This window comes from Homo sapiens, chromosome 3, assembly GCF_000001405.40.
Source record: "Homo sapiens chromosome 3, GRCh38.p14 Primary Assembly".
Classification (NCBI taxonomy): Eukaryota; Metazoa; Chordata; class Mammalia; order Primates; family Hominidae; genus Homo; species Homo sapiens.
In genome coordinates, this window is record NC_000003.12 from 99,575,204 (window position 1) to 99,598,987 (window position 23,784).

The following is a 23,784-nucleotide window of genomic DNA, read 5'->3' on the forward strand; positions in this document are numbered from 1 at the left end:
CCAAATACCACATCTTTTCATTATAAATGGGAGCTAAACACTGAGAACACGTGGACCCAAAGAAGGGAATGATGGACACTGTGGCCTACTTGAGAACGGAGGGTGAAGATGTAAAAATAACTATCCTAGTACTATGCTCATTACCTGGGTGACAAAATAATCTGTACACCAAATCTCAGCAACATGCAATTTACCCACATAACAAACCTACACATGTACCCACTGAACCTAAAATAAAGTTGGAGAGAAGGGGGAAAATATAATACTATGATGTAAATTGAAAAATAAAAAATAAAAAGAAATTTATCCTTTGGAAAGTACTTTAATGATGATCTTTGGGTAGTCAGTTGAGTTTCACTTTAGGTTTGCCTGAAAATGTTGTCATTTTGCCTTTGATTTATAGATAGTTTCACTCAGTTAAACCTTCCTAATCAGCAATTATTGTCTCTTACCATATGGAATATACTATTTCTCTTGTTCTGGTTTTCATTGTTGCTGCGAGAGACCAGCTGTCAACCATTCCTCTGTAGGTGATCAGTTTATTCCTTCTGACTGCTTTAAAGATATTTTCTTTGTCTTTGGTGTTTTGTAGCTTACTCATGTATTTTGGTAAGGATTTCATTTTTAACGTCTGCTCTGGATTTATTGGAATTTATGTATCTGAGGATTTATGTCTTTCAATAATTTTGGGAAATCCTCAGCCATCATCTCTTTGGATATTACCTTTTCCCATACTCTTTATTTTTTTTGTTGAAACTCAAATTATACTTACATTAGATATCTCATCCTCTCCTGTGTGACTTTTAAGCTCTTTCATATTTTCCAAATATTTATCTTTCTTAGTGGAGGGTGTGGAATTTATAGTTCACCCTCCCTGTTGTTCACTCTCTCCGTTGAAGGGAGAGTGTTTTTGTCCCAGTGTCCCATGATCTCTGTTTCTTGTCTCATAACTCTGTGAGGAAATTGAATCTGAAGGCTACTATGTTCAGTAAATGTCCTCTGGATAAAGTAAAATTTAGCAGTAGTTTAGCTGTCTGGACTTCTGTTTTATCGAACTAGATTTTAGCCAGATAGTTATCTACCTTATTGCCTGCTCATTGATGCTTTTAAGCACTATTAGATAGCATTTTTTAATGGTTTTCATTGGGAAAGTTTATTTGAGTATCTGTCCCACCATATTATCAGAAATAGAAGGTGATATTATTTATATAAATTATCAGGCAGGGGTTAGGCATTTAATAAACAGTAGCTATTGTTATTATTGTTTATTCTACTAGCCTAACCAGCTTCTGTCTGTTATCTTCTTTCGTTCATGAAAATGTCATGCATGGAAAAAAATGATAGGTTTTTTAATCATTAAGGGAATAATTCTTCATTTGTTTTTCTATTAGTAGAATGTCAAGGACAAGTTCTGAATTCTAATAATTTGAACCAGAAAAGTAAAAAGCATGGTCATACATGTGTTCCAAGGCTCTGTAATAATAATAAGGAAAAGACAAACAACTCTCTTTATTTTAGTTTTGAAGACAATAACTTTGATCATGCAAAACACAGTGAAGAGTTGAAAAAAAAAGCACTCAAACAGATTAAACTATACAGCAAACTTTGTCAGAAAAAGAGAAAATGAAAGACCTATTTTTCCACATGAATCATAAATATCAGTTGATTAATATAAAATAAAATGTTTTCATGCCTACATGACCGTATCTGATCAAAACTGCAGTGTTTGATGAGTGTTGCTGCTTCTGTCTGCAGGACTGGAAAGAAGTAAAACACTGTAATTTCAGAATTTATAAACCAGACAGGGTTGCTCTTAGGATACTGACCATGAAAGCTGTCATAATCCTAAATCATAAAAGTAAGTATGAACACGCCTAAATGCCAATATCTCTTTACTATTATCTCTTGCCAAGTTTGTACTGACAAAACTAATTAAAGGAAAAGTGATACTCACCACATTCATCTCATTGGTAAAATATCAACCACATGACTAACTTTTGAACTGTCAAGATTATGGCAACATTTAACACTTCTCAAGGGAAGATATCAAATAGAGTCCCAGATTGTTGCTCAATGCTGTTGCCTTCTTTCAGATGCGAAGATATGATTCTGAGGACAGAAGTAAGGACGTCAAGAACAGCACATCTGTAGAACAGAGTCAATCATGACAGAATAGTTATTTTATTTGTTTAGTTTTGCCCAGATATTTTCTATGGATCAAAGTTACTGAAACTCTAAACTCTCACAGCTCAGAAATGCAAAGTATTCATTAGCCATCCTACAGAAGCATATCAGAATTTAAGAGTATGTGGATATTTCCTGTTAGGTATCAGAATCATAAGGAAAGTAAATGTGGGGTCACATAAGTTGCATCCCCATTCCTGAGTAAGAGATAAGCAGTAAAATAGGGGGAAGTAAGCCAGTAAGGAGGCAGTTTGGAGGTAGTGGAAAGTGTAGAGGACAAGTTGTTTGCAAATCTCAAACAAGCCCTGGGAGAGGAACTAATAACTGGGACTTGCAGGGATCAAAGGAGTGAGGGGGACAGAATTCAGACATCTGACTGGTGTATAGAGGAACTTTACCCTGGAGTATGAACATGCAAAGGGAGGGCCAGCGCACCCTGCACAACCTGGAACCATGACAAAGGACAAATACTGGTAACTAGATTGGACACTGATGGTAGTCACCAAGGAGAAAATGCTAACTAAGCCTACTCACATTAAATTTTTGAGAAGCAGGTATAATTGCTGAATTTGCTGATTCCTGAATCTGCTCCAGACATTAAGCCTTAAATGTGCTGATGGTTGGGGCACTTAAACCGTAAGCCATAAATAATCACAATTAATCTTAGTAATGAATCAAAATATGAATCATTGTGAAGACCAAGCAGATCTATATTTTAAAGAGAAAGAAGTAAACCTAAGCATTTAAAGTTTTTCCTTCTTCACATGTAAGTTGAAGACCAGAGCAGAAAACATTCCCTAAAGCATAACTTCCAAACCACACCAAAGTCTTTGGCTCTTGACTCCCCAGTACCATGTGCTGTTGAATCAACAGTATTGTAAAACCTTTCAGTCTAGTGGGACAAATAGAAGTTGAGCTCCTATTATGTGCCAGGAAGGTGTCAGGGGACAGAGAGATAAATAAGACATTGTCCTTGCCACTGTACCAAGCATTCTCTTTTCTTCCAAGCATTCTTTATAAAAAGGCCATAAAGCCTTTGAAGAGAACTTTGTGTAATTATTTTTGATATTTACTTAGTGTTTGTGTCCATGTGGCTCTAGACATTGGACATGAGGCAGGGGCTCCATAAATCTTACTAAATGGAAAAATACCACTTATGTGACTTACATATTAGTTTCCTCTTGCTGCCATAACAAATAAACACAAAGTTAGTGACTTAAACAACAGCCACTTATTATCTCACAGTTTTGTGCGTCAGAAGTCCAGGTACAGCCTGCCTTAACTGGGTCTTCTACTTGGGGAATCATAAGGAATAAATCAAGATGTTGGCTGGGATGGGCTCTTATCTGGATGCTCTGGGAAAGATTCTGCTTCTGAGTAACATTCATTTCTCTGTGGTTATAGAACTAAGGCCTCCATTTCCTTTACACATGACCCCTTCATCAAGCCAACAATAGTACCTTAATTCCCTGACTTCCCCTTCTGTTACTAGCCAAATAAAGAACTCAGCTTTTCAGTGCTTATGTTATTAGATTAGACCTGCCCAGATAATCCAGGATAAGTAACCCCAATTATACCTGCTAAGTTCCTTGTGCCATTTAACATAACATATTCACAGGAGGAACACAAGGGAGCCAAATTTCTGCCTACCACAGCCCATTTAATTGCAAGTGATATAAAACTGCCCTAAGTGGTTTACACCAAAAGAGAGTCAAAAGAGAATGTATTAGGCAAATGGGAAGTAAAGGAGTGATGCATCTTTACCATGAATACAATCATGCCTGAAGACATTATCAGATCTCAGTCTCTGACTTTTTTTTAATCTTTCATCTCTGCTCCCCTCTGTGTGGCCTTATTCTCTCCAAGGGCAGACTAATTTTCTTTAATTCCAATTTTGTTTATTTCCAGATTAGTGACCCACCGAAAAAAAAAAAAGAAAGAAAGGAAAAAAAAAAAAAAAAGCTTTTCTCTTGCAATGTCAAATCAGAGCCCCGCTGCCTGGACTTTGAATTTAAGCAGTGTTCCAGTAGTGGGTAAATGGTTGTGACTCATTCATTCCAATACCATGATAACTCATTCTTGATACTGAGGACTCTGGTGCATGGTCACAACCCCACTAGGGCCATACGGAGTGGGAAAGAAGGTTGTGTTGGGAAAGGTAGGAAAAAAATAGCATTATAGTCTATTTCACTAGTAGTTATTTTCGAGAGTCACAAATTTCTGACTAGTCTGTATAATCTGAGAGCCAGGGCCATGTGCTAGTCACCTTTATATATTCCATAACATATGGCATAAGGCTTTGCACAAAGCAGAAGCTCAATAAATATGAATGGATCAATTGCACAGAGGTAAATTCCCCAAAGTGTTTACTATCTGTCAAAAGGCAACAAGGAAACAGACAAACTGAAAAAAATAGTGGTTTTACTACATAGTTCATGTTAATTACAACTAGCTTTACATAGTAAATTCCAGTTTACATAGCATGTCTACATATAAAGACAGCTATAATACAAGTTGGGTTTTAACAATAGCCCCATTTTACAGATGAGCCTGAGTGAGGTAGAGACTTGCCCGAAATAGTCAAAGTAGTAAGTATTGAACAAGAACATCTGATTCATATTTTCTGTTTTTTCTACGACTAAATATTGGCCAGGGAGTCACACCCCACCCTCAACTTGGCCTTGTGTTCCTTGTGCTGGGTGTTTTTGGCACCTGAGAGGAAGGAGAGTGACTGGACTGCGGTGATGAGAAAGTGTGCTCTGTGAACTGCCAGTCATTTCAAAAGAGAGGTTAATGGCGTCATGAAGTAAGACCACAAGGGGTGCCTAACTTAGACCTGCAAAAGACAGCCAGCCAGGGGTATATGAAGAAAGAGGAAAGACCCTACCCTATGTACAAAGATACACTGTTAGCTGGTTACCTGGTGTTCCAGAAGAAGAGACCACACTGGGAGGTCAGACTGTTATCCTTTCATGTTTTATGCTATCATTGGTGGGAATTCCATGTATGTCCCCTGGCAATGAATTTCTTTGAAAATTTGGTTCTGAATTCAATATCGAACTGTGGTTTTTTTTTTTTAATCCTAAGTAGAAATGGCTTGGCAGGAAGAAAAAAAATGAACCACCTGTCTTTGTCCAACTGTTTAAAATATGTTTTTTCCAAGCATCCCAGTCTTTCCACTGTTGCTTTTTTTTTTTTCCAACAAAGACCCCACTCCTTTTCACAAAATATGTTTGCACTCAGGAAGTCTTCCTTTTCTCTGAGGCAGATAAAGTTAGCAACAAAGCCACTGGTCTAAAGCATTCTTTTAATTTATGTAACAGACTACTATGGTACATCCCCCTACCCCATTCCACTTCCCAAAAAGAAGGGTCTCCTAAAATGTTCTTATGCAGATATTTGACCAGCTTTATTTTCTTTCCTCATAATACATTTTGGGGTATATGTGAAATATATAAAGAGACAGACACACACAGAGAGAAATAATTCTAGTTGCTTTTGTTGTCAGGTCTGAAACACATCTTGCACAAGTTAAAGAATTAAGAAATGAAAGACAATTCCAATTTTCTACCATTTTCTTACTTAAGGCAGTTATGGACTTTTGTTAAGCCATGAAGTCCAAAAAAAAGAAACACAACGATTTTTTTTAACAAGCATGTGGTGTATAGCAACTAATTAATCACTCAGGAGATAGGATAATAAGTATAGAGATAGATCATGAATTCCAGTTACGCTAAGTTAGTTTACTGAGTGATTCAAGTGATTTATCAACTTAGGCGCATTGGTGTGTTATTGAAAAAAAATAAACTTATCAAACTATTACCTGAAGGAAACAGGGAGCCTCCAAAGCTTTCAGATGTTTTCCCAACTAGCAGGAGGCCCCTGCTTGCTTAAAACAGTCTACGCTTTTTGTTTTCTGGGTTTTTGTTTGTTTGTTTAGAGACAGGGTTTTGCCATGTTGCACAGGCTGATTGATCTCAAACTCCTGGACTCCTGGGCTCAAGTTATCCACCCAGCTCAGCCTCCCGAAGTCCTGGGATTACAGGCATGAGCCACCATGTTCACCCTTAGTCTATGCAATTTAAGCAAGAGGTTAATGGAGAAAGTCTCTGCTTTTCTAAGGGTCTCTAAACTTTGTGGCCAGATGTTTTCAGTTGTTATATTTATATCGTCTCACTGATTCTGAGAATCCCAGCATGTATTCTGACAAGAACTCAATAAAACATCAATTCCAAGTCATCTCCTCACCAAGCTTGACTTATCAGCGTCCTCCATCAACTGCCTGGTGGAAATTCCCACCAGAAATCATTCAGGACACCAATACAGCTGAGGGTCAGAATCCTCTCTACCTTACATTTCAGACACCCCCAAATAATTGCTCTTATTTGTAAATAACTCTTAACAAAAAGTAGAAGAAAAATAAGAAGGTATCCAAGACTCAATAAAATGAGTGAAATAGCTATTTCTAGTCAATTTTATATAAACTTTATTAGGGCTCAAGAAGAGTCTGTCCTTTTTACAGAGCCATGTGTCCCTTCTCTGTAGCTTTAAAATCTTCACTGTCTTGGTGTAAAATTTAACCCAATTTATTTTAAATGTGCTGTTCTTATCTTCCTTTAATGTAACTCCTTGGATATTGATGCAAAAATTCTCAACAAAATACTAGCAAACCACATTCAACAATACATTAGAAAGAATATTTATCATGACTAAGTAGGATTTAATCCCTGGACTGCAAGGATGGCTCAACATACGCAAATCCATCATTGTGATACATCACATCAACAAAATAAAGGATAAAAAAACCATATGATCATTTCAGTTGATGCTGAAAAAGCATTTGAGATTATAAAATTCAATATCACTTCATGATAAACACCCTCGAAAAATTGGAGATAGAAGGAACATACCTCAACATAGTAAAAGCCATATATGACAGACCCACAGCTAGTATCATACTGAGTAGGGAAAAACTGAAAGCCTTTCCTCTAAGATTTGGAACTTGATAAGAGTGCACACTTTCACCACTGTTATTCAACGTAGTACTGGAAGTCCTAGCTAGTGCAATCAGACAAGAGAGAGATATAAAGGGCATCCGAATTGGAAAGGGAAAAGTCAAATTACCCTTGTTTTCCAATGATATGATCTTATATTTGGAAAAACCTAAAGACTCTACAAGAAAAATTTTAGAACTGATAAACAAACTCAACAGAATTGCAGGATACAAAATCAGCATACAAAAATCAGTAGCATTTCTATATGCCAACAATGAAAAATGTGAAAAGGGAACACTTGTACGCTGTTGGTTAGAATGTAACTTAGTACAACCACTACAGAGAACAGTTTGGAGGTTCCTTAAAAAAACTAAAAATTGAGCCACCGTTATGATTCAGCAATCCCGCTGCTGGGTATATACCCAAAAGATAGGAAATCAGTATATTGAAGAGATATCTGCACCCCCCTGTGTTTGTTGCAACACTGTTTACAATAGCTAAGATTTGGAAGCAACCTAAGTGTCCATCAACAGATTAACAGATAAAGAAAATGTACCACATATGCACAATGGAGTACTATTCAGCCATAAGAAAAGAATGAAATCCAGTCATTTGCAACAACATGGATGGAACCGGAGATAATTAGGTTAAGTGAAAATAAGCCAGGCACAGAAAGACAAATATTGCATTTTCTCACTTATTTGTGGGACCTAAAAATCAAAACAATTGAACTCATGAATAAAGAGTAGAAGGGTGGTTACCAGAGTCTAGGAAGGGTAGTGGGGGGCTCAGGGAAAGGTTGGGAAGGTTCATGGGTACCAAAAAAATAGAAAGAGTAAATAAATCCTACTATTTGATTGGACGATAGGGTGACTATAGTCAATAATCACTCAATCATACATTTTTAAATAACTTAAAAAGTATAATTGGACTGTTTGTAACTCAAAAGATAAATGCTTGAAGGAATGGATATCCCATTCTCCATGATGTGCTTATTTCACATTGCTTGCCTATATCAAAATATCTCATGTACCCTATAAATATATTAACCTACTATGTACCCACAAAAATTAGAAAATTTGTTTAATAGTTTAATATAGCTCCTTGAGGGTAAGAATCAGTGTATTTCCTCACTGTACCCAAACCACCCCTCCCAGCAACATACACAATAGTTTGCACTAAGTAGAGAAGATCAATAAATAGGTAATAAAAATTAGATGCCCCAGAAAAATAATCAATTACTTTTACCTTCTAGACAACTGATTGATGACCAAAGTATTAAAAGAGAATTTCAAAAATTCAAAAAGATCTTTTCTATAAAAGCATACAGACATGTAAAATGAACAATCTTCGTTATTATATTTCTGGGACAAAAAGTCTATGTGACCACAGAATTATTAACTGATTATTTTTGCTCTGAAGCCATTTTGAGTCATTTTTTATTTCCTCCTCTTTTGTGGCTTGCTTTCTTTCGTTAAGTCTTCCTGGGAAATTTCCCTTTCAGATTGGGTCAAAAGGCTGTGGATTTCCTGGTTTCTGTGAGACAAATGGCTGGAAGAAAATGCGGATTTACCAAGAAGGGTGGAGATGAGAATTGTCTGAGGAATAGTTGAGCTTCAAGAGACATTCCCCAAGATTATGTGGACTGGCCTTTCAAGGTGGTTATTCAGGATTGTCACTGGAAGAACTCAAGATTATAGTAGTAAGGTTAAAACATTCCAAATCTGAGACAGAACTGATCAAGATTTAAGGAGACATCTGGGAAGCAATTCTCAGTCCACAAACAACATTTGCCTGTTTTGTTTCATGCCCAGAATATTTGGAGAAGGATGGATAGGAGAGTCAGGACAGGAAGAGGGAAGGTGTTTAAGGAAATCTTTCTATACTGACTGCTTTTCTCTTCCTTAGATGTTATCCTGATTAAGAAACAAACCATAATCCTTATTAAAGATAAATACAACAGGGGCTGTTTTTGCCTGGGAATTGCCCTCTATAAGTTAAAGCTACCATGTGCTTTTCCTGGCACATCTGGTGTTATTAATGACCTGGAATATTGAAAGAATTTTCAAACCCTCAGACAGAAACACAAGTAGTTACATCAGTAATTAGCACTAAAGAGAATTTATAGCATCTGGATATTTCAGTAATTAAGATGGCCCAGAGCATTTCAGTCTGTTGTTAAGCACAGACCATCAAAGGAGTGATTTCCACAATGTATAGATTTATTCCCTGTCTCACCTTACTTGCAGCCTATAGAGGCTGACTGCTGGACTTAAGTTCCAAGAACTGTAATTGAACCCCAGCTATCACTTACTACTTTGTAACTTTGGGCAAGTTTCTTAGTCCCTCCAAACTGGAGCTCTCCCATCTATAAAACTGGAATATTTTCATCTACCTTACTTAGACAAAAGGATTTTTGTGAGGCTCAAAAAGGAAAATAGATGTGAAAGCATTTTACAAATCCAAGGCACTGTGCAGGAGTTACTGAATAGGATTGCTGTTGTAGGGGGTCCTTTGATGACCCTTGCCTAAGTTATACTAACAGTTGTGTGGTCCTCAACTGACCATCATCCAGCATTCGGGCAGACCTTCCATTGCCCAAATCCAGCAACAAGTGGAGCATGAATGAATTGAAACCAAGTCAAATCTGTGTTCACCTTGTTCCTGACAGCTCTCCTGGTAATTAGTACTCCAGAGCTGTTTTCAAAGATAAAAATTGAGAGATAAATCCTAATTGCATTGTCAGTTTCATGTATTCTATTACATTACTTTTGGAGAGGCTGTATTAAATGATATAACAAAGTATATGTATTTCACAAGAATGTACATAAATATTAATATTCTTTGCTTAAGTTCAGGAAAACTATTATGAAAAGTATTCCTTTGCCCCTCAGACCTCAGTAAAGATGTTTTAACCTTCCTACTAAATCACTTCAGATTATGTTCCATGCCAGTGGTATACGTTATATATCCTGCAGGTCAATAGCTGGACGGCAATGGCATTCATCCAGATTCTCATTTTTACATAAATGGCTTTAAAACACGTTCTCTGTATTACACCTTCATCTTATCCTGGCCCAGCAAAATACATATGATTCCATATAATGCGAATATTATTATGATGAGAAAGAGTTACTAAGGAGTCAAAATGGTGTTATAACAACTTACTATAAAATCTATGTGCTCGGTCTGAAAATAATCCAAATAAGCACTAGAAACTGACAGTTTAATGTATTACTGAAAAGGTCGGATCAAGAAGCAGGAAGGCTCACGAAACAAAAGCATATGCAAAAGAAATAGCCAAAAGAGTATCATGACTCCTGCAAAGATTTTTATTTGGAGACCCAAATTTCTAGCCCTAAACTTGATATGCTTCTGCTCATATCAGAGAAAAAAAATCTCCTTATTAGAAACATTGGAAAAGTAGAATAATGTAGACATTGTGTGTTTGCACTGATTCAAATCAATGGAAATTTATGCTTTTTTAGAATTAATAAATGTGAACACTTAGATTTTAAATCTGCCCACATACCAAGATGTTACATATCCATCTGCCATTTAATTCAGCTGGTCTGATGAGAATTCTTCATGTGCATTATACTTGAATATGTTTTCTACACAGTTTGCCGTTGGCTTTTTAAGAATAATGTTTTCAAGCATGATTATAGATTTATATATTCTAATAGTGCTTTGGGGGGCAAACCTCTTAAATAATTTTTGCTTAATTAAGTGTAGCTTCAAATGTGCATCTTCTAAAAGAGGACTTGAAGGATTTGCCAAGGTCTTATAATTATTTAGATTTATGGCCCAATAAAGCATCGTTCCTATATTATACCCTATACAACACCATTTGTATATTCCAGGGGGAGAAACTGAGGCAGAAATGGGAAAACCTTGATTTAGAATATTCAGTGATTGAGTCCAGCAACAGAAATCAAGTTTCAAAATTCCTTTTCCTATAATTGTTTTCTAGAGCTGCCTTAGAAGACCTTGCTGTTGGTATGACCAGAATTATGACAAACAACTTACTGCTTTTTATGACTGCTGGAACTCCCTCTAATTGGTATGAGTGAAATCAAAATCTAGTAGAAACCAAAGAAACTTGGCTCACGCTACATGACAATTCTAACAGTAAAATTCTAAAATGCAAACATTCAACCATTCAACAGAAAAAAAAATAAAAATCTTCAACATGTGTCTCACGCCAAAACAAATCAAAATAAACAATAATAGAATCATGAGATGCTTTTGACTTGGCCTGGATAAAGCAAATAACAAAGTTGTAGCATAAAATAATTGAGGAGAAGCCCTCTTTTTGAGATTGGGCAAAGAACCCCAGGTATCATGTCCCTCCCTCTTCTAGCTTTCCCACCAGGACTGTAGATACCTGACTCGGTCTGAAACGGAGGCTGCTGCCTAGTGAACAGAGCTTAGTGGGAAGATGCTGCCACCTCCCTTTAAACAAGAATGAGTCAACAAAGTACTTAATCAGACATTTTCTGTATTGAGAAAACACAAAACAAAAACAAAAAGGACCACAGAAATCATAAGCAGAAAATAGGATATCCCAGCATTCCTCTATCCCGGAATAAGAAGTTGGAACAAAAACAAGAAAATATTAAATTTTGAGGATTCTTTGGTTTGTGGCAACTGCTACAGATTCCTATGTTTTGATTCAAAAGTTATTTATTTCTTACAGCAACATTGGTAGCAATGTGCACTCAGGAAATGGCAATTCTTTTTAATTCCAAACTCGAGAAACTGTTTCTGCTTCAACAATTATTATATGAGGTGAGAATTAGAAAAAGATATAAATAACAGTGTCACAGAGATTGATTGTAAGTCGGTGAAAATAATAGCAATAGAGATAAAAATCTTAACTTTCTAGCTCAGAGACTCTTCTTCCTTTTCAGCAGTTTGTTACTACATAAGTACAATTTTATGTTTGCCTTGTTATGTTTTTATGACAAGTTCTTCCTCAGTTGAAGGGTAATTTTGAAAATGTTTTGAATAGCAAAGTCTTTTGAATCACTCAATAATTCTTGGCAAGTTAAATTAAGCAAAAATAAATTATATACAACCCAAAGACAAATCTAACTTGAGAGCCATTCAAAGAAATTGACTGTTTACATATATATATATATATATATATATATATATATATATATATACACACACACACACACACACCTGCATTCTATCTGTTACAAGTGTGTGATTTTTTTTAAAAGGAAGCTGTCCATAGAGATGACAGGATCATAAACCTAATAAGCCAAAGTGGAGAAGCCACAAGTTACCATCCCTTCAGTAGAAAATGAGACTGGGTTGCTCAGCCTTCAATCTGACAGTTTCAAAGAGAAAAGAAATCTATTAGCAAGTTGCTGATGGCTTATAAAAAACATATTGCAGAATCTTGCTCTTCTATTTAAAGGCATATTCCTGTCCTTTCTCATTAATTCTAAAAGAAAAAAAAAAGAAATCAGATTTGACATCCTGTAACTTGCTCCTTAAATATCAGAAGCCACATGTACACAGCAAGTTCTTTATAATTATAATTTTTATACCTTCTTTTCTACTTTCCTATACCTTAAAATATGTTTTTCAAAGGTGTGTGTGATGTGTGTATTTTTAAGAACTATCATGAGCATAGAGTAAATACAAGTAGCTGCCTCTTTTTGGTGTTTGAAGAGAACAAAGATTTGTATTCCTGGCTGCATGTAATGAATGTTCACTGTTGAAATCATTGTGATATTTCAAGGGGAAAAAAAGTCATCAAATTTCTGAGGGGTTGGACCAGGCATGATGGCTCCTGCCTATAATCTCAGCAATTTGGGAGGCCAAGGTGGGTGGATCACCTGAGGTCAGGAATTCGAGACCAGCCTGAGCAACATGGTGAAACCCCATCTCTACTAAAACTACAAAACTTAGCTGGGCGTGGTGGTGCACGCCTGTAACCCCAGCTACTCGGGAGGCTGAGGCAGGAGAACCTCTTGAACCCAGGAGGCAGAGGTTGCAGTGAGCCAAGATCACGCCACTGCACTCCAGCCTGGGCAAAGAGAGAGACTCTGTCTCAAAAAAAAAAAAAGTTCTGAGTGGTTATAGTGAATGTAGTATAAATAATACCCATTGGCTATGCTTTCTTCTTGCAGAGGGAGTGCATAGAATTCATAAGCATAAGCTGACATGCTAGAACACGCTAGCCATGGATCCTTCACCTAAACAAGAGACTCCATTTGATAACTGTTCCTTTATACCAAATAAATCTGCTCATAAGAGCCCATAGTTCAGGAAAGTTAAAAGGTAAACATAAAATAGCACATATAAAAACATATATATATATTATATATATATGTTTGGGATGCAATCTGTCAGCATCTTAAAAACTCCATTAGTACATATAGATACATATATATTTTACCTGACTCATCATGTCTAAAATGCTTAGAGTTTAAGTCAGGATGGTGTTTCTCCCTCAGCTATATTACTAACATGTAACATTTGTCTTTTGGAAAACCCCATCAGCCTTTTGGGGTCACTGTTTGACTTGTATTATAGTGAATTATTTATGAATCTGGATCCTGCAACAAATTGGGAAGCACCAATTTTCTATGTTTACGTTTGTTTACCTGTTTGTTCTTAAAAATTCCCATAGTATGTGGGGCGTTGCCTCACCCAGGAAACACAAGGGGTCAGGGGATTTCCCTTTCTAGCCAAGGGAAGCTGTGACAGACTGTACCTGGAAAAACGGGACACTCCCACCCAAATACTGCACTTTTCCCAAGGTCTTAGCAACAGGCAGACAAGGAGATTCTCCCATGCCTGGCTCAACAGGTCCCATGCCCATGGAGCCTTGCTCACTGCTGGTGCAGCAGTCTGAAATCAAACTGCAAGGTGGCAGCCTGGCTGGGCGAGGGGCGTCCTCCATTGCTGAGGCTTGAGTAGGTAAACAAAGCAGCCAGGAATCTTGAACTGGGTGGAGCCCACCGCAGCTCAGCAAGGCCTACTGCCTCTAGACTCCACCTCTGTGGTCAGGGCTTAGCTGAACAAAAGGTGGCAGACAACTTCTGCAGACTTAAGCGTCCCTGTCTGACAGCTCTGAAGAGAGCAGTGGTTCTCCCAACATGGTGTTTGAGCTCTGAGAACAGACAGACTGCCTCCTCAAGTGGGTCCCTGACCCCTGTGTAGCCAAACTGGGAGACACCTCCAAGTAGGGGCCAACAGATACCTCATGTAGGTGGGTGCCACTCTAGGACGAAGTTTCCAGAGGAAGGATCAGGCAGCAGTATTTTCTGTTCTGCAATATTTGCTGTTCCACAGCCTCCACTGGTGATACCCAGGCAAACAGGGTCTGGAGTGGACCTCCAGCAAACTCCAACAGACCTGCAGCTGAAGGACCTGACTGTTAGGAGGAAAACTAACAAACAGAAAGGAATAGCATCAACATCAACAAAAAGGACATCCACACCAAAACCCCATCTGTAGGTCACCAACATCAAAGACCAAAGTTAGATAAAACCACAAAGATGGGGAGAAACCAGAGCAGAAAAGCTGAAAATTCTGAAAATCAAAGCGCCTCTTCTCCTCCAGAGGATGGCAGCTCCTCGCCAGCAACAGAACAAAGCTGGATGGAAAATGACTTTAACAAGTTGATGGAAGTAGGCTTCAGAAGATCGGTAATAAAAAACTTATCCAAGCTAAAAGAGCATGTTCAAACCCACTGCAAGGAAGCTAAAAACCTTGAAAAAAGGTTAAATGAATGGCTAACTAGAATAAACAGTGTAGAGTAGACCTTAAATGACTTGATGGAGCTGAAAATCATGGCACAAGAACTTCATGATGCATGCACAAGCTTCAATAGACGATTGAATTAAGTGGAAGAAAGGGTATCAGTGATTGAAGATCAAATGAATGAAATAAAGGGAGAAGACAAGGTTAGACAAAAAAGAGTAAAAAGAAATGAACAAAGCCTCCAAGAAATATGGGACTATGTGAAAAGGCCAAATCTATGTCTGATTGGTGTACCTGAAAGTGATGGGGAGAATGGAACCAAGTTGGAAAACACTCTTCAGGATATTATCCAGGAGAACTTCCCCAACCTAGCAAGGCAGGCCAACATTCAAATTCAGGAAATACAGAGAACACCACAAAGATACTCCTCGAGAAGAGCAACCCGAAGACACATAATTGTCACATTCACCAAGGTTGAAATGAAGGAAAAAATGTTAAGGGCAGCCAGAGAGAAAGGTCGGGTTACCCACAAAGGGAAGTCCATCAGACTAACAGCAGATCTCTCAGCAGAAACCCTGCAAGCCAGAAGAGAATGAGGGCCAATATTCAACATTCTTAAAGAAAATAATTTTCAACCCAGAATTTCATATCCAGCCAAACTAAGCTTCATAAGTGAAGGAGAAATAAAATCCTTTACAGACAAGCAAATGCTGAGAGATTTTGTCACCACCAGGCCTGCCTTACAAGAGCTCCTGAAGGAAGCACTAAACATGGAAAGAAACAACCAATACCAGCCACTGCAAAAACATGCCAAATTGTAAAGACCATCGACGCTATGAAGAAACTGCATCAACTAATGGGCAAAATAACCAGCTAACATCATAATGACAGGATCAAATGCACACACAACAATATTAAACTTAAATGCAAATGGGCTAAATGCCCCAATTAAAGGACACAGACTAGCAAATTGGATAAAGAGTCAAGACCCATCAGTGTGTAGTATTCAGAAGACCCATCTCACATGCAAAGATTCACATAGACTCAAAATAAAGGGATGGAGGAAGATCTACCAAGCAAATGGAAAGCAAAAAAAGCAGGGATTGCAATCCTAGTCTCTGATAAAGCAGACTTTAAACCAACAAAGATTGAAAGAGACAAAGAAGGCCATTACATAATGGTAAAGGGATCAATTCAACAAGAAGAGCTAACAACCCTAAATATATATGCACCCAATACAGGAGGACCCAGATTCATAAAGTAAGTCCTTATAGACCTACAAGGAGACTTAGACTCCCACACAATAATAATGGGAGACTTTAACACCCTACTGTCAATATTAGACAGATCAACGAGACAGACGGTTAACAAGGATATACAGGACTTGAACTCAGCTCTGCACCAAGCAGACCTGATAGACATCTACAGAACTCTCTACCAGGAATCAATAGAATATACATTCTTCTCAGCACCACATCGCACTTATTCTAAAATTGGCCACATAATTGGAAGTAAAGCACTCCTTAGCAAATGTAAAAGAACAGAAATCACAACAAACTGTCTCTCAGAACACAGTGCAATCACATTAGAACTCAGGATTGAGAAACTCACTCAAAACTGCACAACTACATGGAAACTCAACAACTTCTTCCTGAATGACTACTGGGTACATAATGAAATGAAGGCAGAAATAAAAGTGTTCTTTGAAACCAGTGAGAACAGACACAACATACAAGAATCTCTGGGACACATTTAAAGCAGTGTGTAGAGGGAACACTAAATGCCCACAAGGAAAAGCAGGAAAGATCTGCAATTGACACCCTAACATCACACTTAAAAGAACTAGGCAAGCAAGAGCAAAGAAATTCGAAAGGTAGCAGAAGGCAAGAAATAACTAAGATCAGAGCAGAACTGAAAGAGATAGAGACACAAAAGCCCTGCAAAAAATCAATGAATCCAGGAGCTGCTTTTTTTTAAAGGATTAACAAAATTGGTAGACTGCTAGCAAGACCAATAAAGAAGAAAACAGAGAAGAATCAAAATAGATGCCATAAAAAGTGATAAAGGAGATATCACCACTGATCCCACAGAAATACAAACTACCATCAGAGAATACTATAAACACCTCTATGCAAATAAACTAGAAAATCTAGAAGAAATGGATAAATTCCTGGACACATACACTCTCCCAAGACTAAACCAGGAAGAAGTTGAATCCCTGAATACACCAAAAACAGGCTCTGAAATTGAGGCAATAATTAATAGCCTACCAACCAAAAAAAGTCCAGGACCAGATGGATTCACAGCCGAATTCTACCAGAGATACAAAGTGGAGCTGGTACCATTCCTTCTAAAACTGTTCCAATCAATACAAAAAGAAGGAATCCTCCCTAACTCATTTTATGAGGTCATCATCCTGATACCAAAACCTGGCAGAGACACAATGAAACAAGAGAATTTTAGACCATTATCCCTGATGAACTCAATATGAAAATCCTCAATAAAATACTGGCAAACTGAATCCAGCAGCCCATCAAAAAGCTTATCCAGCATGATCAAGTCGGCTTCATCCCTGGGATGCAAGACTGGTTCAACATACACAAATCAACAAACATAATTCATCACATAAACAGAACCAATGACAAAAACCACATGATTATCTCAATAGATGCAGAAAAGGTGTTCGAAAAAATTCAACAGCCCTTCATGCTAAAAACTCTCAAAAAACTAGGTATTGACAGAACGTATCTCAAAATAATAAGAGCTATTTATGACAAACCCACAGCCAATATCATACTGAATGGGCAAAAACTGGAAGCATTCCTTTTGAAAACTGGCACAAGATGAGGATGCCCTCTCTCACCACTGCTATTCAACATAGTGTTGGAAGTTCTGGCCAGGGCAATCAGGCAAGAGAAAGAAATAAAGGGTATTCAATTAGGAAAAGAGGAAGTCAAATTATTCCTGTTTGCAGATGACATGATTGTATATTTAGAAAGCCCCATCGTCTCAGCCCAAACTCTCCTTAAGCTGATAAGCAACTTCAGCAAAGTCTCAGGATACAAAATCAATGTGCAAAAATCACAAGCATTCCTATACACCAATAACAGACAAATAGCCAAATCAAGAGTGAACTCCCATTCACAATTGCTACAGAGAATAAAATACCTAGGAATCCAACTTACAAGTGATGTGAAGGACCTCTTCAAGGAGAACTACAAACCATTCCTCAACGAAATAAAAGAGGACACAAATAAATGGAAGAACATTCCATGCTCATGGAAAGGAAGAATCAATATCGTGAAAATGGCCACACTGCCCAAGGTAATTTATAGATTCAATGGCTTCTCCATCAAGCTACCAATGACTTTCTTTACAGAACTGGAAAAAACCTACTTTAAAGTTCATATAGAACCAAAAAGAGCCCACACTGCCAAGACAATCCTAAGCAAAAAGAACAAAGCTGGAAGCATCATGCTACCTGACTTCAAACTCTCAAGGCTACAGTAACCAAAACAGCATGGTACTGGTACCAAAACAGAGATATAGACCAATGGAACAGAACATAGGCCTCAGAAATAAAACCACACATCTACAACCATCTGATCTTTGACAAACCTGACAAAAACAAGAAATGGGGAAAGGATTCCCTATTTAATAAATGGTGCTGGGAAAACTGGCTAGCCTTATGTAGAAAGCTAAAACTGGATCCCTTCCTTACACCTTATACAAAAATTAATTCAAGATGGATTGAAGACTTAAATGTTAGACCTAAAACCATAAAAACCCTAGAAGAAAACCTAGGCAATACCATTCAGGACATAGGCATGGGCAAGGACTTCGTGACTAAAACACCAAAAGCAATGGCAACAAAAGCCAAAATGAAAAATGGGATCTAATTAAACTAAAGAGCTTCTGCACCACAAAAGAAACTACCATCAGAGTGAACAGGCAACCTACAGAATGGGAGAAAATTTTTGCAATCCACTCATCTGACAAAGGGCTAATATCCAGAATCTACAAAGAACTCAAACAAATTTACAAGAAAAAAAAACCCTATCAAAAATTGGGCAAAGGATATGAACAGACACTTCTCTAAAGAAGACATCTGTGCAACCAACAGACACATGAAAAAATGCTCATCATCACTGGTCATCAGAGAAATGCAAATCAAAACCACAATGAGATACAATCTCACACCAGTTAGAATAGCAATCATTAAAAAATTAGGAAACAACAGATGCTGGAGAGGATGTGGAGAAATAGGAACTCTTTTACACTGTTGGTAGGAATGCATTAGTTCAACCATTGTGGAAGACAGTGTGGCGATCCCTCAAGGATCTAGAACTAGAAATACCATTTGACCCAGTGATCCCATTACTGGGTATATACCCAAAGGATTATAAATCATGCAACTATAAAGACACATACACACATATGTTTATTGCAGCACTATTCACAATAGCAAAGACTTGGAACCTACCCAAATGTCTATCAATGATAGACTGGATAAAGAAAATGTGGCACATATACACCATGGAATACTATGCAGCCATAAAAAATGATGAGTTCATGTCCTTTGCAGGTACATGGATGAAGCTGTAAACCATCATTCTCAGCAAACTATCACAAGGACAGAAAACCAAACACCACATGTTCTCACTCATAGGTGGGAATTGAACAATGAGATCACTTGGACACAGGGCAGGGAACATCACACACTGAGGCCTGTCAGGGGGTGGGGCGCTGGGGGAGATATAGCATTAGGAGAAATACCTAATGTAAATGACGAGTTGATGGGTACAGCAAACCAATGTGGCACATGTATACCTATGTATCAAACCTGCACCTTGTGCACATGTACCCTAGGACTTAAAGTACAATAAAATAATAATAATAATAATAATAATGTTTAAAAAATTTTTAAAACTCCCATTGCACTCATTTACATTTGTATGCCCAAACATAATTTTACGTAAATTACATACCAAAGAGCATAACATCGTGTCTGACATATAGTAGGTACTAAAATATATATATAGCTGCACTACATTATGAAAATCTTTCTAAGGTGCTTTTATAGCATTAATGCACTCTTTTTAAAGACTGCACTATTCCATGGCCCGAATAAACCCATTTTATTCAATCATAACCTATGTAAGACATTTACTTTGTTTCTTGTTTTCGGCCATTACAAACAGAATAAATAGTCTTATATACTCAGCTGCAGTAAATAATCTTATATACTCAATTTTGCTCTAAGATAATATATGCATCCTGAAAATCACTATGCAATGCAAAATTGTGCAATAAAAACCACAGAGCTTCTGGAGAAAAATGGGTTGCGGACTCAACATTCAAAAAGTCTCCCAAAACAGCAACATATAAAAAAGATAGGAACCTAAAAAATGGTTTAAAATGGTAATACATGTGTTAAATACACATTAAGAAATACATAAATACTATAATAAATATGGCACTTAACCTTGAAGAAAACCTGAAATTTGCATGAAGAACTGGGCAGAAGTAGGTTTGCAATTTGTGAGTTATTGTGAAGTGGTAGATGGATGGTTATCTGAAATCAGATGGAACATTGGAATACTAGATGTGGATAGGTACGGCTCATTATGCAGTGAACTGAGGTAACTGGAGATATTAGTGGTGTCTGTTTTGTGTTTTGCCAGGCAGCTTGGTTCAGACGGATGCAGTTTCCTGCCATCCTCTAGTATTTCTTACAGAAAAAATAATGCAGAAGCAAAAGCAAAATCCACACTATGTTCAATGTGTTCCCTAATATATCAGCTTCACTCTAGCAAATTCACATTTTAAAAGTCAAGTGTTACAGCACTATTGACTATATATGTGTCATTATATGCCAATGCTTTCATTCCTATGAGTTAGATTTCCAGGATAGGGGCTAATGGATTTTTTTAAGATGCTAACAGATTGCATCCCAAACAGCTTTAATAATTTTAAGATATTTTCCATTTTCACAACCTCAGAGAAGACAATCCAGTCCCACACCCTGAACCTAATTTTTTTTTCTTTTTCTGAGATGGAGTCTCACTCTGTCATCCAGGATGGAGTGCAGTGGTGCAATCGAGGCTCACATCAACCTCTGCCCCCCAGGTTCAAGCTATTCTCCTGCCTCAGCCTCCCTAGTAGCTGGAACTACAGGCATGTGACACCACACACAGCTAATTTTTGTATTTTTAGCAGAGAGAGGGTTTCACCATGTTGGCAAGGTTGGTCTCGAACTCCTCACCTCAGATGATCCGCCTGCCTCAGCCTCCCAAATGAACCTCATTTTTTACAAAGTTTGAGACAATTGTGAGACTGGGTGAGAGTTCTAATAATGGACACTGACTCTGCTTCCTACTAGTCAAAGTAACCAAACGATTCATTTAAAGGACCAGGCGTTTCTGGGGACAAGCAGGAAAAGGAACCATCCCCTACTTATCCACCCTTCACCTCTGCCTCTGTAGCTCAGCATCAGAAGTAAAAGATTAGACCACAAGGTCTACTTCCTAAAATAAAAATTTGCCACATTGTAAAATTTAAAAATTCTCTCTTGGAAAGTGTTGAAATATACATTTAAAAAGATAAAATGAAAATAATATATTTATTACTTTACCAGGGGGAGAAAACCATTTTTAATATTTTGTCAAAGTCTCTGTCTTTGTGTTTTGACATCATATGATATTTAGCTTTATCTTGACTATTTTCATGTCATAATTATCCTTAAGGTGCTTCATATTAACACTATATACCTACATAATACATTCTACTATGTGCCATAATTTACCTGGACATTTTTCTATTATAGAAAATTTGGTTGTTTTCAAATGGATTCTGTCATAAAAATCCCTTCCAATTGGCATTTTTGTCTATGTATATTATATATGTGTGTGTAATATTATATATATAATTTCTTCAGAATAGTTTCTAAGAAGGAGAATTTCTGGATCAATATAGGTGTATGTTTAAGGCTAATATATTTTACAAAATACCTTTCAAAAATATTACACCAACTTATAGCTCTACAAATCTGGCCTTAACCAGATTTTATTACCTTTTGTAAACCTCTTCTAATTTGATATTTGAAATAATATAGCCCAGCACATCTCTGGCTGGGTTATATTGTAAATTAACTCTAGTTTTTTTAGCTGGTGCCCAGAAGTGCAGGTAAGGAGAGTTCCTGAAAAGAGCATGTGTTGTCTTTCAAAGCCTGTGTGTCATCTTCAAACAGGATTTATTGGGGAGTGGGCTACTTATGTGGGCCCAGAGGATTCAAAGAAACAGGCAGGTACAAGATTTTTGAGGAAATTAACCTAGATGTCCCCATTTCAAATCTCAAGAGTCCTTCTGCTTCCTACCTAGGCCCTGATCTTGGTATAGTAGACTTGCTGAGGTTGAAATGACAACCTTCTCTGCAGTTCCACTGTTCCCATAATTAAGTCCTGGAATTGATCTTCGACTTTTTCTTCTGTTTATAGAAGATAAAATTCATTTTGTATGCTGCCAAGAAAGCCCCCTGGCTTTCATACTTTGCCTTAAAGTGGGGATTAATCACCCTCAGCCTTTCCTTGTCTTTCTTCTCCAGTGCATTGCTAGTATCTAGGAAAAGCAATCTGATTCCCTTGGCCTGGTAATTACTACTTCCCTAGAACCGCTCAAATGCCTGAGATATTGCTCCTGCCAGTGCATTACCTTCCACTCGTGTCCTATTCCAGCTCAGAACTTGTAAAAGTTCTAACAACTGCACTGCTATAGCATGCTAGGGGCTATCATTTCCCCACCTAATACCAGTGGCAGGGTTCTCATTTCCCTGCAGCCAGCAAGGGATCCAGCTTCAAAGTTGCATTTTAGATTCTGCTTCCTCAGACATTCTAACTGGTGTTTAAATTGGGTTCCCTAGGAAACAGATTCTAAGATGGAACAATACTTATAAAAGAATGAGAAATAAGAATTGGACAGAGGGGGAAGTTGAACGTCAGTGTGCAATTCTAACAGGTCTTAGCCAGTCCTTCAAGAGCCCAGGAGCTAGAATGGCTCTTCCAAGTTTTCCAGAATTGAGACAAAAAGGCCAGGTCTTCGTACATCTGCATAGACCAGTTCTTTGATGTGAGCTAACTCCAGTAAGAGGGTATAACCTTGAGCAAAGCAGCTCCCTTTATTCTAGAGCAATCTCCAAAGTGGTACTCAGCCATGAAATGTCTACAGCCAATACTTCTCGCAGGTGTGGAAATGCACGCTTCAGACCTGAAGGGGCAACGCAGAAGGCATACCACAGCATCCACCACATGCTTCCACAACAATAAAAAATAGTTTGGATATTACTTAGCTTAATAGTTCGAAGATGTGTCTGTAAAAGTCAGCATAATGTTCAGGTAAGAGAACAAATGATGTTTTAAACAGGTAAATCAATACACTTAAGCAAAAATGTAGTTTGAATATTAAAGTTGGGGAAGATGTTCATAAACATCAATATATAAACAGGTAGGATAATAATTATTTTATAATATAGAGAAATTAATAGTATATAGCCAATAGTAAATAAAAATAGGGAGGGACCAAACTCTTTGGCCAAGAAATAAGCTTTCTTTATAGCACAAGGTGTGTTCTGTAAGTTACACATCCTCTCCACTCCCGGATTTTTCTCCACCTTTGAGTTGCTGTGCCATCTATAAAATTTGTTTATACAAATTTTTATCTGCCTGACTTCCATGCTGCCACTCATTATGCTCAGCCTCATAGGCAAGGAACAGTGGTAAAGAAGAGAGGGCATGGTTCCCAAAATAGATTTCATTTTGTGCAATTCCACTAACTACTTTTCAGTCAGCTCTCTGCTTTAACTAGAAAAAAATATAGTAAGGAG

At 37.5% G+C, this 23,784-nt stretch overlaps 1 long non-coding RNA gene across 6 annotated transcripts in view; it reads right to left on the minus strand.

The window, feature by feature from the left end:
* The window catches only part of LOC105374007 (uncharacterized), a 175,630-nt gene extending 152,330 nt beyond the window's left edge, over positions 1–23,300 (minus strand). For 2 of the 6 annotated variants that reach the window (XR_924270.3, XR_001740461.3), the window contains exons 1-2: positions 22,617–23,300; positions 1,955–2,145 (exon numbers count right to left, since the gene is read on the minus strand). This is a non-coding gene — a long non-coding RNA (uncharacterized LOC105374007). Of the gene's footprint in view, positions 1–1,954; positions 2,146–14,403; positions 14,500–22,616 lie in introns of those variants that run through there. The other 4 variants (XR_001740465.2, XR_001740464.1, XR_001740462.1 and 1 more) reach the window with 4 other exon arrangements.
* Positions 23,301–23,784: the final 484 nt, after the last annotated feature.